Here is a 13,460-nt window from a genome sequence, read left to right as displayed (position 1 = left end):
AAGCTTTTTGATGTGCTGCTGGATTCAGTTTGCCAGTATTTTATTGAGGATTTTCTCATTGATGTTCATCAGGGATATTGGCCCGAAATTTTCTTGTTTTTGTTGTGTCTCTGCCAGGTTTTGGTATCAGGATGATGCTGGCATCATAAAAGGAGTTAGGGAGGAGTCCGTCTTTTTCTATTGTTTTGAATAGTTTCAAAAGGAATGTTACCAGCTCCTCTTTGTACCTCTGGTAGAATTCGGCTGTGAATCCGTCTGGTCCTGGACTTTTATTGGTTGGTAGGCTATTAATTACTGCCTCAATTTCAGAACTTGTTATTGGTCTATTCAGGGATTCAACTTCTTCCTAGTTTAGTCTTGGGAGGGTGCATGTGTCCAGGAATTTATTCATTTCTTCTAGATTTTCTAGTTTATTTGCATAGAGGTGTTTATAGTATTCTCTGATGATAGGTTGTATTTCTATGGGATCAGTGGTGATATCTCTTTTATCATTTTTTCTTGTGTCTATTTTATTCTTCTCACTTTTCTTCTTTATTAGTCTGGCTAGTGTTCTATCTGTTTTGTTAATCTTTTCAAAAAATCAGCTCCTGGATTCATTGTTTTTTGAAGAGTTTTTCGTGTCTCTGTCTCCTTCCGTTCTGCTCTGATCTTAGTTATTCCTGTCTTCTGCTAACTTTTGAATTTGTTTGCTCTTGCTTTTCTAGTTCTTTTAATTGTGATATTCGGGTGTCGATTTTAGATCTTTTCTGTTGCTTTCTCCTGTGGGCATTTAGTGCTATAAACTTCCCTCTAAACACTGCTTTAGTTGTGTCCCAGAGATTCTGGTACTTTGTGTCTTTGTTCTCATTGGTTTCAAAAAACTTATTTATTTCTGCCTTCATTTTGTCATTTACCCAGTAGTTATTCAGGAGCAGGTTGTTCAGTTTTCCTGCAGTTGTGCGGTTTTGAGTGAGTTTCTTAATCCTGAGTTCTAATTTGATTGTATTGTGGTCTGAGATAGTTTGTTATGATTTCTGTTCTTTTGCATTTGCTTAGGAGTGTTTTGCTTTCAATTATGCGGTCAATTTTAGAATAAGTGCAATGTGGTGCTGAGAAGAATGTATATTCTGTTGATTTGGGGTGGAGAGTTCTGTAGATGTCTATTAGGTCTGCTTGGTCCAGAGCTGAGTTCAAGTCCTGAATATCCTTATTAATTTTCTGTCTCATTGATCAGTCTAATGTTGACAGTGGGGTGTTAAATTCTCCCACTATTATTGTGTGGGAGTCTACGTCTCTTTGTAGGTCTCTAAGAACTTGCTTAATGAATCTGGGTGCTCCTATATTGGGTGCATGTATATTTAGGATAGTTAGCTCTTCTTGTTACATTGATCCCTTTACCATTATGTAATGCCCTTCTTTGTCTTTTTTTATCTTTTTTGGTTTAAAATCTGTTTTATCAGAGACTAGGATTGCAACCCCTGCCTTTTTTTGCTTTCCATTTGCTTGATAAATATTCCTCCATCCCTTTATTTTGAGCCTGTGTGTTTCTTTGCTCATGAGATGGGTCTCCTAAATACAGCACACTGGTGGTTCTTGACTCTTCATCCAATTTGCCAGTCCCTGTCTTTTAATTGGGGCATTTAGCCCGTTTACATTTACAGTTAATATTGTTATGTGTGAATTTGATCCTGCCATTATGATGCTAGCTGGTTATTTTGCATGTTAGTTGATGCAGTTTCTTCATAGTGTCAATGGTCTTTACAATTTGGTATGTTTTTGCAGGGTTGGTAACCCATTGTTCCTTTCCATGTTTAGTGCTTCCTTCAGGAGCTCTTGTAAGGCAGGCTTGGTGGTGACAAGCATTTGCTTGTCTATAAAAGATTTTATTTCTCCTTCACTTATGAAGCATAGTTTGGCTGGATATGAAATTCTGGGTTGAAAATTCTTTTCTTTAAGAATGTTGAATATTGGCCCCCACTCTTCTGGCTTGTATGATTTCTGCCAAGAGATCTGCTGTTAGTCTGATGGGCTTCCCTTTGTGGGTAACCTGACCTTTCTCTCTGGCTGCCCTTAACATTTTTTCCTTCATTTCAACCTTGGTGAATCTGATGATTATGTGTCTCGGGGTTGATCTTCTCGGGGAATATCTTTGTGGCATTCTCTGTATTTCCTGAATTTGAATGTTGCCCTGTCTTGCTAGGTTGGGGAAGTCTTCCTGGATAATATCCTGAAGAGTGTTTTCCAACTTGGTTCCATTCTCCCCATCACTTTCGGGTACACCAATCAAATGTATGTTTGATCTTTTCACACGGTCCCATATTTCTTGGAGGCTTTGTTCGTTCCTTTTCATTCTTTTTTATCTAATGTTGTCTTCACACTTTATTTCATTAAGTTGATCTTCAATCTCTGATATCCTTTCTTCCACTTGATTGTTTCAGCTATTGATACTTGTGTATGCTTCACGAAGTTCTTGTAGTTTGTTTTTCATCTCCATCAGGTCATTTATGTTCTTTTCTAAACGGTTATTCTAGTTAGAAATTCCTCTAACCTTTTTATCAAGGTCCTTAGCTTCCTTGCATTGGGTTAGAACATACTCCTTTAGTTTGAAGGAGTTTGTTTTTACCCACCTTCTGAAGCCTACTTCTGTCAATTCGTCAAACTCATTCTTCATCCAGTTTTGTTCCTTTGCTGGCAAGGAGTTGTGATCTTTTGGAGGAGAAGAGGCATTCTGGTTTTTGGAATTTTCAGCCTTTTTGTGCTGGTTTTTCTTCACCTTCATGGATATATCTATGGTCTTTGATGTTAGTGACCTTCAGATGGGGTTTTTGTGTGGACATCTTTTTTGCTGATGTTGATGCTATTCCTTTTTGTTAGTTTTCCTTCTAACAGGCCTCTCTGCTGCAGGTCTGCTGGAGTTTGCTGGAGGTCCACTCCAGACCTTGTTGGCCTGGGTATCACCAGCGGAGGCTGCAGAATGGCAAATATTGCTGCCTGTTCCTTCCTCTGGAAGCTTCATCCCAGAGGGGCAGCCACCAGATGCCAGCTGGAGCTCTCCTGTATGAGGTGTCTGTCAACCCCTGCTGGAATGTGTCTGCCGGTTAGGAGGCATGGGGGTCAGGGACCCACTTGAGGAGGCAGTCTATCCCTTAGCAGAACTGGAGTGCTGTGCTGGGAGATCCGCTGCTTTCTTCAGTTTTGGCAGGCAGGAATGTTTAAGTCTGCTGAAGCTGCACCCACAGCTGCCCCTTGCCCCTTGTGCTCTGTCCCAGCAAGAAGGGAGTTTTATCTATAAGCCCCTGACTGGGGCCGCTGCCTTTCTTTCAGAGATGCCCTGCTCAGAGAGGAGGAATCTAGATAGGCAGTCTGCCTACAGTGGCTTTACCGAGCTGCAGTGGGCTCTACCCAGTTTGAACGTCTCGATGGCTTTGTTTACACTGTGTGGGAAAACCACTTACTCAAACCTCAGTAATGGTGGACCCTCACCCCACCAAGCTTAAGTGTCCCAGGTCAACTTCAGACTGCTGTGCTGGCAGTGAGAATTTCAAGCCAGTGGATTTTAGCTTGCTGGGCTCCGTGGAAATGGGATCCACTGAGCTAGACCATTTGACTCACTGGCTTCAGCCTCCTTTCCAGGGGAGTGAATGGTTCTGTCTCGCTGCTGTTCCAGGCACCACTAGGGTATGAAAAAACTCCTGCAGCTAGCTCAGTGTCTACCCAAATGGCTGCCCCATTTTCTACCTGAAACCCAGGGCCCTGGTAGTGTAGGCACTCGAGGGAATCTCCTGGTGTGTAGGTTGCAAAGACCATGGGAAAAGCGTAGTATCTGGGCTGGAATGCACCATTCCTCACCGCACAGTCCCTCATGGCTTCCCTTGGCTAGGGGAGGGAGTTTCCCAACTCCTTGCACTTCCTGGGTGAGGCAATGCCCCACCCTGCTTCTGCTCATCCTCGGTGGGCTGCATCCACTGTCTAACCAATCCCGATGAGATGAGCTGAGTACCTCAGTTGGAAATGCAGAAATCACCTGCCTTCTGTGTTGATCTTGCTGGGAGCTGCAGACCAGAGCTGTTCCTATTTGGCCATCTTGCCAGCCACCCCCTCTACTTGCATTCCTTTCTCTAGGTTGTGAGCTCCTAGAGGGTTCTTTACCAATTTAATCTCAGTACTACTAGGGTAGACCATGGTACCTGGGTGGAATACTTCTCAACAAGTGTTTGTTGATTGATAATTTAATGGACTAAACCAATAGATGCATAGATGTCAGTTCCTTTGATACAGTGCTCACATGGGGTTTGTAATGTCTACTAATTGATCATTTTCACTAACTAGTCAATAGCTGTATGATAGTTTAGATTAGAGTTGGGGGGGTGTCTTAATGACTGTAATTCTTAGTTTGGTTGACTTTTCTTTTGGTGAAATTTAAGTGCTTCTTAACAATTATCACATTACCAATTGGCCATCTTCTCCTTGAACTTTTTCAGTTGTCCTTTATCATAGTTTGATCCTCTCATTGCGCTAATTCACTTTGCTGACTGCTTAATTTCTATATCCCTGTTCAAGCACCTTCAATTGCCTCCTTATAATTTGTGGAATTCTGTCTATGTCCTTTTCCTTGGACTGAGTACAAGAATAGAAGCAATAGACCCTCTAAGGAGCCAAAGAGAATTAATGGTGCTTTAGAATAGTGTAGCAGCAGTGGAAAGGAAGAGAAGTGGAAGTATGTGGTATGTACTCTAAAGGTAGAGCCAACAGATCTTGTTGAAGGATTACCTATGGGAGGTGAGAGAAAGAGAATAATTATGGGAAATTCCTAGGTTTTGGCCTGGGCAACTGGGAGAAAGGTGATACTATTTAATGGGATGGGAAAGGACAAGCAGCTTTGTTTTTATTTTGTGTGTTTGTGTGGGTGTGTGTGTGTGTGCATGTAAACACGTGTGGGGTGAAATTGATAATCAAAAGTTCTGTTTTGGACAAGTCAACTTTGAGATAGGTGATAAATTAGAAATTAGAGTTGTAAGCCTGGTAACTGAGCACAACGGTTTTGAGCTCAAGTAAGATACCAGAGGTGGGATATTGAATTTGGGATTCACTGGGTTTGACATATATGATATTAGAAGGCCTGGGAGTGTTTGCGATCACCTGGAGAGAGAGTATAGAGGCGAGATGGCACCCTTGAACAAGGCTTAGATAAGTTTCAACACAGTCAAAATTTATTATTAGTTATTTCCAATACATTTCTTTTGATATTAACAATCACTTAAAAAAGCCTGAAACTTCTATTTTATAGGATTCGCAGTCTCAGAGAGTTCAAAAGAATTACGCATTCCATATAATTTAGTGCTGCTTATTTTGCCAAAAAAAATTTCCGTTAAGGTGTGCAGTTATTCCTTGCCATTGCTTTATGAGAAGCCTTAACTTCTTAAGAGACCTGTAATTTTCCTTTTAATTTCTGATGTGAAGAGTCTGTCGATAGATCTTAATCTGTTAATTACTGAAGCTTTATACTGGTTTCAACTTGCTAGAAAACATTTAAATTTAATACCATTAGGGGAAATGCTTTGTATGTTTTTATACTTCTCTGTTCTCGAAGCATTTTATAAACGGCAGCTAACATTTCTTATCCAAGGAATAGCACAGATTTTATTAAACGGGGTACAATTTGGATTTCCAATCCACTGCTGGCCTCTCTCCAACAGCCGACATGGCATGGTCTGGCAAACCCCAACCTTCCCAACTTCATACTATCTGCTTCTTGAGACATGAAAATGCAGTTTATAAAAGCTGCAAAATCCTGCAATGCTTTTAGGCACGCTTATTTGACAGAGACCCTCTGAGGAAAGCATACACATACACAAAACAAAAACAACACATGTACAATAGGTTAAGTGTTCTCTGTTTCTTATGCCTATTTTTTTCCAAGGACCATGTAATAAGTCCATTTACAGGACATCTATACAAATGGGCATAAACACTGCCTCAATCAATCTCCTTGACAGTTGTGCCTACTTTAAAATTCTACTCTATTCTCACTGACACCAGAAATGCATAGGAGAAAAAAAGAACTGGATCTAACTCTAAGTTCTACCCTCAGCTAATACAAGAGATATTTAATGCTTAGCCATGTCTTCTTACCAGTAACAAAGGCCTGGCTGGGGTTTTGCCAGTGCTATTCACTCTCACTATAAATCTTCTAATGCCACTATAATGCTTTATTTTTCAGGTTTCCTCCTGATCTTCTTCTTACTGTGATTTAACAGAAAAATCCACACACTGCCAAATGATCCCATACAATTACAGGATTTATGAGGTGCTAAAACAGCCCTTGGGCAAGGCCATCAAAGGAAAGGAGTTATTTAGTTATTCTGCAGTTTGTGAGTCTACAAAAGGAAATGGTCAAAATGGCAACTGTTTATTACCAAATCTAAAGAATGTAAGCAGTCACCCAGGACAATCTGCTGGGTAGGAGGAAACATATAAGAATATTCACAACTGTGAGGTGTGGTTTAGGGTTTTTCTCTCAGTGGATGGACTTCCTAAGATATTTGGCCTATTCAATCCCGGGCACCCTTGTTCTGTAGATGAAGAACTGGTCCTTCATTCTGTCTCTAATTCTCTACTTAGGAGAAGATGTGAATGAAATGCAGATGTTTAGAAATATAAAAATCTCATTTTGCTGTGTGTACTTAGTCTGGGAAAAAAGCCAGTGGAATCACTAATTTTGCTTTTCATTTGTTTCATTTACTGAGACATTTTTAAGGTAAGAATAGAAAAAATGATCAAAGCAGACTTTTGATAAATGTTGAGCAAAAATTTCTATTTTTCAAAGTGGAATGGAAAATTGTGCTATTCTTGACCAAACATAGAGCTGTCTGATTATGTAGATCAGAATCCATGGTGATCAGAAATTTTTCTGCTTTAAAAATATTTTTCCATTGCCATATAAATACTCTGAGTAATTTGGTCTGACTTTTATAGAGTTGGGTAAGCTAGGGCTGTCATTTTTTCACATTTCTCCTAGATTCATCACAGTCATGAAGAATTGCACCATTAAAGCCAAGCACTGTGCTAATTACACTTAAAAGTATGTTCTAGTCTTGTGGATGTAGGCTTGGTTCACTGTTCTTTCAGTGGATAAGCTGGGTCTGCAGGTTAGTTTTCTGCTTATAATTATAACCATAAAACCCATCACAATGTGTTGATTACATGCAATCTTAAAGACAACTGACACTTACTGCAAGACTGGTGTGAGCACAACGTAAGTCAATATTTACAATGGTCTCTGAAGTTTGTGGCATTATTCTAGTTTACTCTGCTGGGTTTTTTTTCCCCACCATTATTTTATGCCAAGAGGCACCATAGAGGGGTGGATGGTCAGGCACACTTAGCCATCCACAGTGAATATCCAGGAAGAGGACATTTGGAAGGGGGCTAAGGCAACACAATACACCCAAGCAACATATCACAAAATAACATTTATGAGATAATATGTTTGGAAGGGACAACAAATATTATCCTACTCTTTTAAAAAAATGTTACGTTTTTAGACTGACAAATAATAATTGATCATATTCATGGGTATATGGTGATGTTTACATATGTATAATGTATAGTGATTGCATCAAGGTAATTGGTATATCCATCATCTAAAACATTTATCATTTCTTTGTGTTGGATAATCCAATATTCTCCTTCTAGCTATTTGAAACTACATCATATATAATTGTTAACCATAGTCATCCTACAGTAGTAACCAGTCTTTCTCTTTTTCGGGAGATTTTATTCAAACCGGTGCAAAAAGAGATATGCCTAGCTTTCTCATTAAAAATCTGTATAGAAGTTTACTTAAAATCTTCACCCGTGAAAGCATTCCAATGTCTCCAATGAATACAGTACTAAAGTCCAATGTTTAATGTCCCACCCAAAGGAAATACTGTGTCCAAGAGGCACACCTTACACATGTCTTCCCAGGCTTTGTGATGTCTAGTGATGGGAGGCGGGGGGGTGCCTGGATCCAAATGCAAAAAGTCCAGGTGCTAGCTTGTGTTTGTTCCCAGGATCATTAGTGTCTGCAAAAGCCTGCGAGACTGCAGCAAGGGGATAGCTTTTCATGTAATATCTATTATTTTAAAAAATGTCTTTCTTCATGCCAGTTCTCAAGCCTAAAATTGAGAGGCCTTTCCAAGGTTTTTAGGTGGTTGTTAGAAAAGTTGCTGAAATATGTTCTTTTGTTTCGTATTTAAGTCAGTTAAAAAAAAAAAAAATCAATTTCAACTTGAAGTGAGCAGTGCTTAAATCAAGAAGTTGAAGAAATTACTTGAGCATGCAGTGATAATAATGGCTCTCATTTATTAAATATTGTGGTACGTGTTTTACCCCTCAGCAGGACTCTAAGAGTTAGTTGTTTACTCTATTTTACAGACATGAAAACTGAGGTTCAGAGAGGTCAAGTAAATGAACCAGGCTCACCTGGTTGGGAAACAGCAGAGCCTAGCTTTGATACCACAGCCTGCATTCTTATGTTCTCATCTCCAGGCCATATGGCTTCTAGCACTTGGCGAAGAAGCCCCCTGAAATGCCCACCTAGTACCTGGTTTCTGTAAGATATTCTATCTGACTCTAATTTAAAATGCAATTAAAATTCAATCAAGAGCCAGGTGCGGTGGCTCATGCCTGTAATCCCAGCACTTTGGGAGGCCGAGGCGGTTGGATCACGAGGCCAGGAGATCAAGACCATCCTGCTAACACAGTGAAACCCCGTCCTACTGAAAATACAAAAAAAAAAATTAGCTGGGCTTGGTGGCGGGCGCCTGCAGTCCCAGCTACTCAGGAGGCTGAGGCAGGAGAATGGCGTGAACCCAGGAGGCGGAGCTTGCAGTGTAGCCGAGATCGTGCCACTGCACTCCAGCCTGGGCGACAGACCCAGACTCCGTCTCAAAAAAAAAAAAAAAAAAAAAAAAAAATCAAATCAAAACAAGCAATGTATCTCGATAAATCTAGGTAGAGAAAATGGGATTTTCAGATTACAAAACTCTTTAGCTAGGTTTTTGTTTTTCTGTACGATTGTCTTAATTCATTATTCAATTTGCCTGTGTAATATTTAGGCACTGTAAAAGCACTGTCTGCTTTCCTTAAGCGGGTGTTGTGGTTAGCTGTGAATTCATAACTTAAGCAACTAATTGATATTGGCTCTCTGTGGCCCCATGACACTTCAGACATTTTTAGATGAATAACGTTGCAATCTAATGGCTTTTAAAAATCAATAAACAATACATCAGAATATATATAATAATATATAATATAAATATATATGTTTTTTCCTTTCTCTCTTTTTTGTAATGACTCTTGGAACTTCCTGTTGAATGTCAATATTTTCAGAGATGCTTCCAGCTTCCTTTTGGGTCCCTTGGAGAATGCACAAATTGGCCATTATCTCAGCGGCTCTCTCTCCAAAGATGGTAAAGAGTTTCAGATGAAAGAAGTCCAGACTGCTCCTCTCTGCCAAAGAAAACAAATCCAATATCTCTCTTATGGGTTGTTTTGCCAAACTCCAAAAGGAAGAGTGTATTAAAATGGTGTCTTCTGCATTAAGTCTTTAAACATAGAATTAAAGTAATCATAAGCTTCTCCACTTTTTTGGGTCTCATAATTTTTTCAGGTGATACGTGAAAAGATGTCAGAAGACTCTTCGTGGCCACCTCAGTTTCACAGGCACCTGCAGACATGGATCCCTCTCCTTTCCCCCTCCTCCACCATTTTTCACTCTCAGGAACTTCAATCTTTTAAGAGTTTAAAACAGATTTTGCACTGCGACTCTAAAGTCAAAAAATTTCAATAGGATTCTGACAAATGTTTGAGATTTATCATGGATACATTTTTACCCCCTTTGGATTATTAATGTTTTAGTTTTTTATTATAGTTTCTGCAAGCCAATGAAATTTTTATGAGAACATAAAAGTTAAAAGAAAAATTTGGGTTTTTAAAATCTGTTTCCTCCAAGAGTTTGATCAAATGCTATATTCCCAACAAAGATGTTATTGATGACCCAAGAGGAATTGATGTCTCATATATTTTTCTCCTATCATGTTCTTTTTCGTATTATTACGTTTCTTACATTTCTCTATTTTCTCTTTCTCTTACAGTTATCTCTACAAAAATAATTCAATAGATATTTTCTGAGTGAATATATGTTGAATGAATTTTAGGGAAAGAAACAGTAGGTGCCCATAAGTAAAGCTAATGTAAAAGTAGCTGATATTATGTGTGACATAAAATTAGTTTCAAACATTTATTGAAAGGCACTTCACTTTTTAAAAAGATCATATAGCTCTTAATAAATATTAATGTGTGGTTTAAAGCAGGTCAACATTCATAAAGATTAGGAATTCTAATATCTTCCAAATGTCTGCATCAAAGGATTAAGAACTCAAAAATTCAAAACACAAATTCCCAGGTTTCTGAGGATTTAAATTGTGAAATGATTATGATTTGGAGGGGTAGGAATGAAAAGTAATCTAGGAAATTAATGCTTTCTTTGTTTAATAGCCATGTAAGTTTATCTTCTATGTGCCCACACTGAAGTCTTGAGTAGTAAGATGTGGGCTTGGAGCCATTTTTCATAGGTAAGTTCAGGATTCAAAATTGACAAAAAATTGTACCTCCAAAGATGGACTAATCTGAGTTAGTCAAGAACTGGCTATTATTTTATAAGGGCTTCTATATCTTAAAGTTAATAATGATTAGTAATTTACAACCATAGAAAGAAAACAACTGTTCAGTGAATGCCATCTATGGATCAAGTACTATGGTAAATCCTTTACATATTTATAATAAGCATAATAAACATTTATCTAATCTTTACTAGGCACCTAACACACTTTACATATATAGGTGGCCCTCCATATCTGTGGGTTCTCCATCTGCTGATTCAACCAATTCCAACTGAAAAAATATTCAGGAAAAATAGTAATAATATAACAATAAAAATAAAAATAAAAACACAGTATAACAACTATTTACATAGCATTTATATTGTCTTAGGCATTACAAGTAATGTAGAGATGATTTAAAGTATACAGAAGCATATGTGTAGGTTACATGCAAATACTACACCTTTTTATAGAAGGGACTTGAATATCCACAGATTTTGATATACAGGGTAAGGCCTGGGACCAATCCCCCACAGACACCAAGAGACAACTGTATTCACTCCTTTAATCATTACCACAATCCTGTTAAGTGTCACCACTATCATCCATTTCACATTTGAGGAGATTAAGGCATAAAGAGGTAAAGGAGCTTCTCAGGATCACAGAGCTAGTAAGGGTCATAGATAGGGTTGTGTTAGTCTCCTAGAGCTGCTGTAACAAACTACCACAAACTGGGTGGGTTAAAACAATGGAATCTTACGTATCAGAGTTCTGGAGGCTAGAAGTACAAAATCAGGGTGCTGGCAGGGCCATGCTCCCTCTGAAGCCTGCAGGGGAGAATCCTTCCATGTTTCTTCTAGCTTCTGGTGTTTTCCAGCAATCTTTGATGTTTCTTGGCTGTAGATGCATCCCCTCCATCACTGCCTCCCTCATTACTTAGCTGTCTTCTCTGTGTCTATCTCTCTTCTTATAAGGATACAAGTCATATTGGACAAAGGGCTCACCCTACTCCAGGATGACCTCATCTTAACTAATGACATCTGTAACAACCCTATTTTCAAATAAGGCCACATTTTGAGGCACTGGGGTTAAGACTTTAACATATCTTTTTGGGGACACAATTCAAGCTGTAACAGCTCTCAAATCCATGGTTGTGTGTGTGTTTCAAAAATACTACACTATGCTATGTCTTTTTCTGTGAAGTTTTCCATTTCACTTAATCGTTAACAAGTTTTGTTGTGCCTTTTGTGCTGTGAAAATAGTTTAGGTGGGCAAGAGTTTTAAAAATATATTTTAGCTTTAAATGAAATACAAATTCAGAACATAGCGATTCTATTATTGCTTTGCTATTCTTATAAAATATTTAAATTCATTTTGCTAATGTCTCTCTGATCATTTAAAAATAGGTACCAAAGTAGGCTTTTTTTTTTTTAATGCCTTAAGGCAGTGATGATCCATTTTTTCCACCTAAACCCTCTTGATGGATATGGCATACTCCAGTGAGTAATAGTGGCTCACAGAAACAATGATTCGTAGCTGGACCAGGGAAGTGTGGAATGTCTGAATCTCCACAGCTGACATATATTGAGGAGAAACTTACTCCCTGAGTGATCTTGAAATGTCTTCCCAAAGGGAAACCATACACATCTCACCCACCCCTAACCCAAGGGAGAACAGTTACCTTAAGCTTCACATAGTACTTTATAAATAAATTCTTATTTGATATGAAGAAAATGAAGGAAAATATGCACTTCTCTTTTTAGAGTTGCATCTTCTTATATCTAATCACGTAAAATTAAAAAAAACTAATATTCTTTATTTTACAGAAAAGTTTTAGGTTCACAGCATAATTGAGCAGAGTATGGAGATTTCCCATATACCCGTTGGCCTAACACATGTACAATCCCCCTACTATCAACATCCCCCACAAGAGTGGTACATATATTATAACTGATTAGACTACATTGAGACATCATTATCATTCTAAGTCCATAGCTTACATTAGAGTTCACTCTTGGTATTGTACATTCTTTGGGTTTGAACAAATGTATAATGACATGTATCCATAATTATATTATCATACAGAGTATTCTCATTGCCCCCCAAATCCTCTGTGAGTTTCCTATTGATCTCTCCCTCTTTCTATGTCCTGACAATCATGCTCTCTGTGAACAAAAAGTTTTATTTTTTTCTTCTCAATCTGTATCATTTTCTTTTCTTTTCTTGTGTTATTACATTAGCTAGGAACATAAATTAGTTTTAAAATCTACAAAATGTTAGATAATAGGTATCATAGTGAATTTATTCTCTTCATAGTATTTGTTTTGCTATTTTTTTAAATAAATGGTATAGTGATTGTTTTAGTAGTCTAGGATTTGGTAAATAAATTCATATTATACTTATTATAATATAAATGTCAGTTGCATCCTCTTGAAAACTTTCTTTCAGTTTACCTTGGCATTAAAACTTTTTCATTCATTAATCCTTTAGCCATCTTTTTCATCACTTTCTAAAGTTTGCTTGTTTGCCTTGTAACTACCAAAACTGTACAAAAATGTAAATATGACATTCTAGACTCTGATACTATGGCTTTATATAAATATAGGATAATCTTTGATATTTAAATGGTATATTGCGTATTGTTGCTTTGAAGTACATGTTCTTTCCCAAGTCAAAATTGTTTGTCTAGAGCTTGTTGTCTTGTAATTGTGATTGGGAATATATTTCCCCAAATGTATTACTTTGCAGTTTTCCACTCTGAAACTTATTTAGGTCATTTATACCTCTTTGTAGGTATTTTGAGTGCTTTTCCTCCTTCACTACCTAGAACTGTGA

At 38.0% G+C, this 13,460-nt stretch overlaps 1 annotated feature.

Moving 5' to 3' along the window:
* Positions 3,489-3,990: an enhancer, noted in NCBI's record as "H3K27ac hESC enhancer chr8:70192219-70192720 (GRCh37/hg19 assembly coordinates)". NCBI's record gives its function as "activates a minimal SCP1, AML or CMV promoter by ChIP-STARR-seq in primed H9 embryonic stem cells {active_cell/tissue: H9 hESC(primed)}" and the evidence as "EXISTENCE:reporter gene assay evidence [ECO:0000049][PMID:30033119]".

This window comes from Homo sapiens, chromosome 8 (assembly GCF_000001405.40).
Source record: "Homo sapiens chromosome 8, GRCh38.p14 Primary Assembly".
Lineage (NCBI taxonomy): Eukaryota > Metazoa > Chordata > Mammalia > Primates > Hominidae > Homo > Homo sapiens.
The sequence above is the reverse complement of the archived record's forward strand: the minus strand, read 5'-3'. Positions and strand labels throughout refer to the sequence as shown.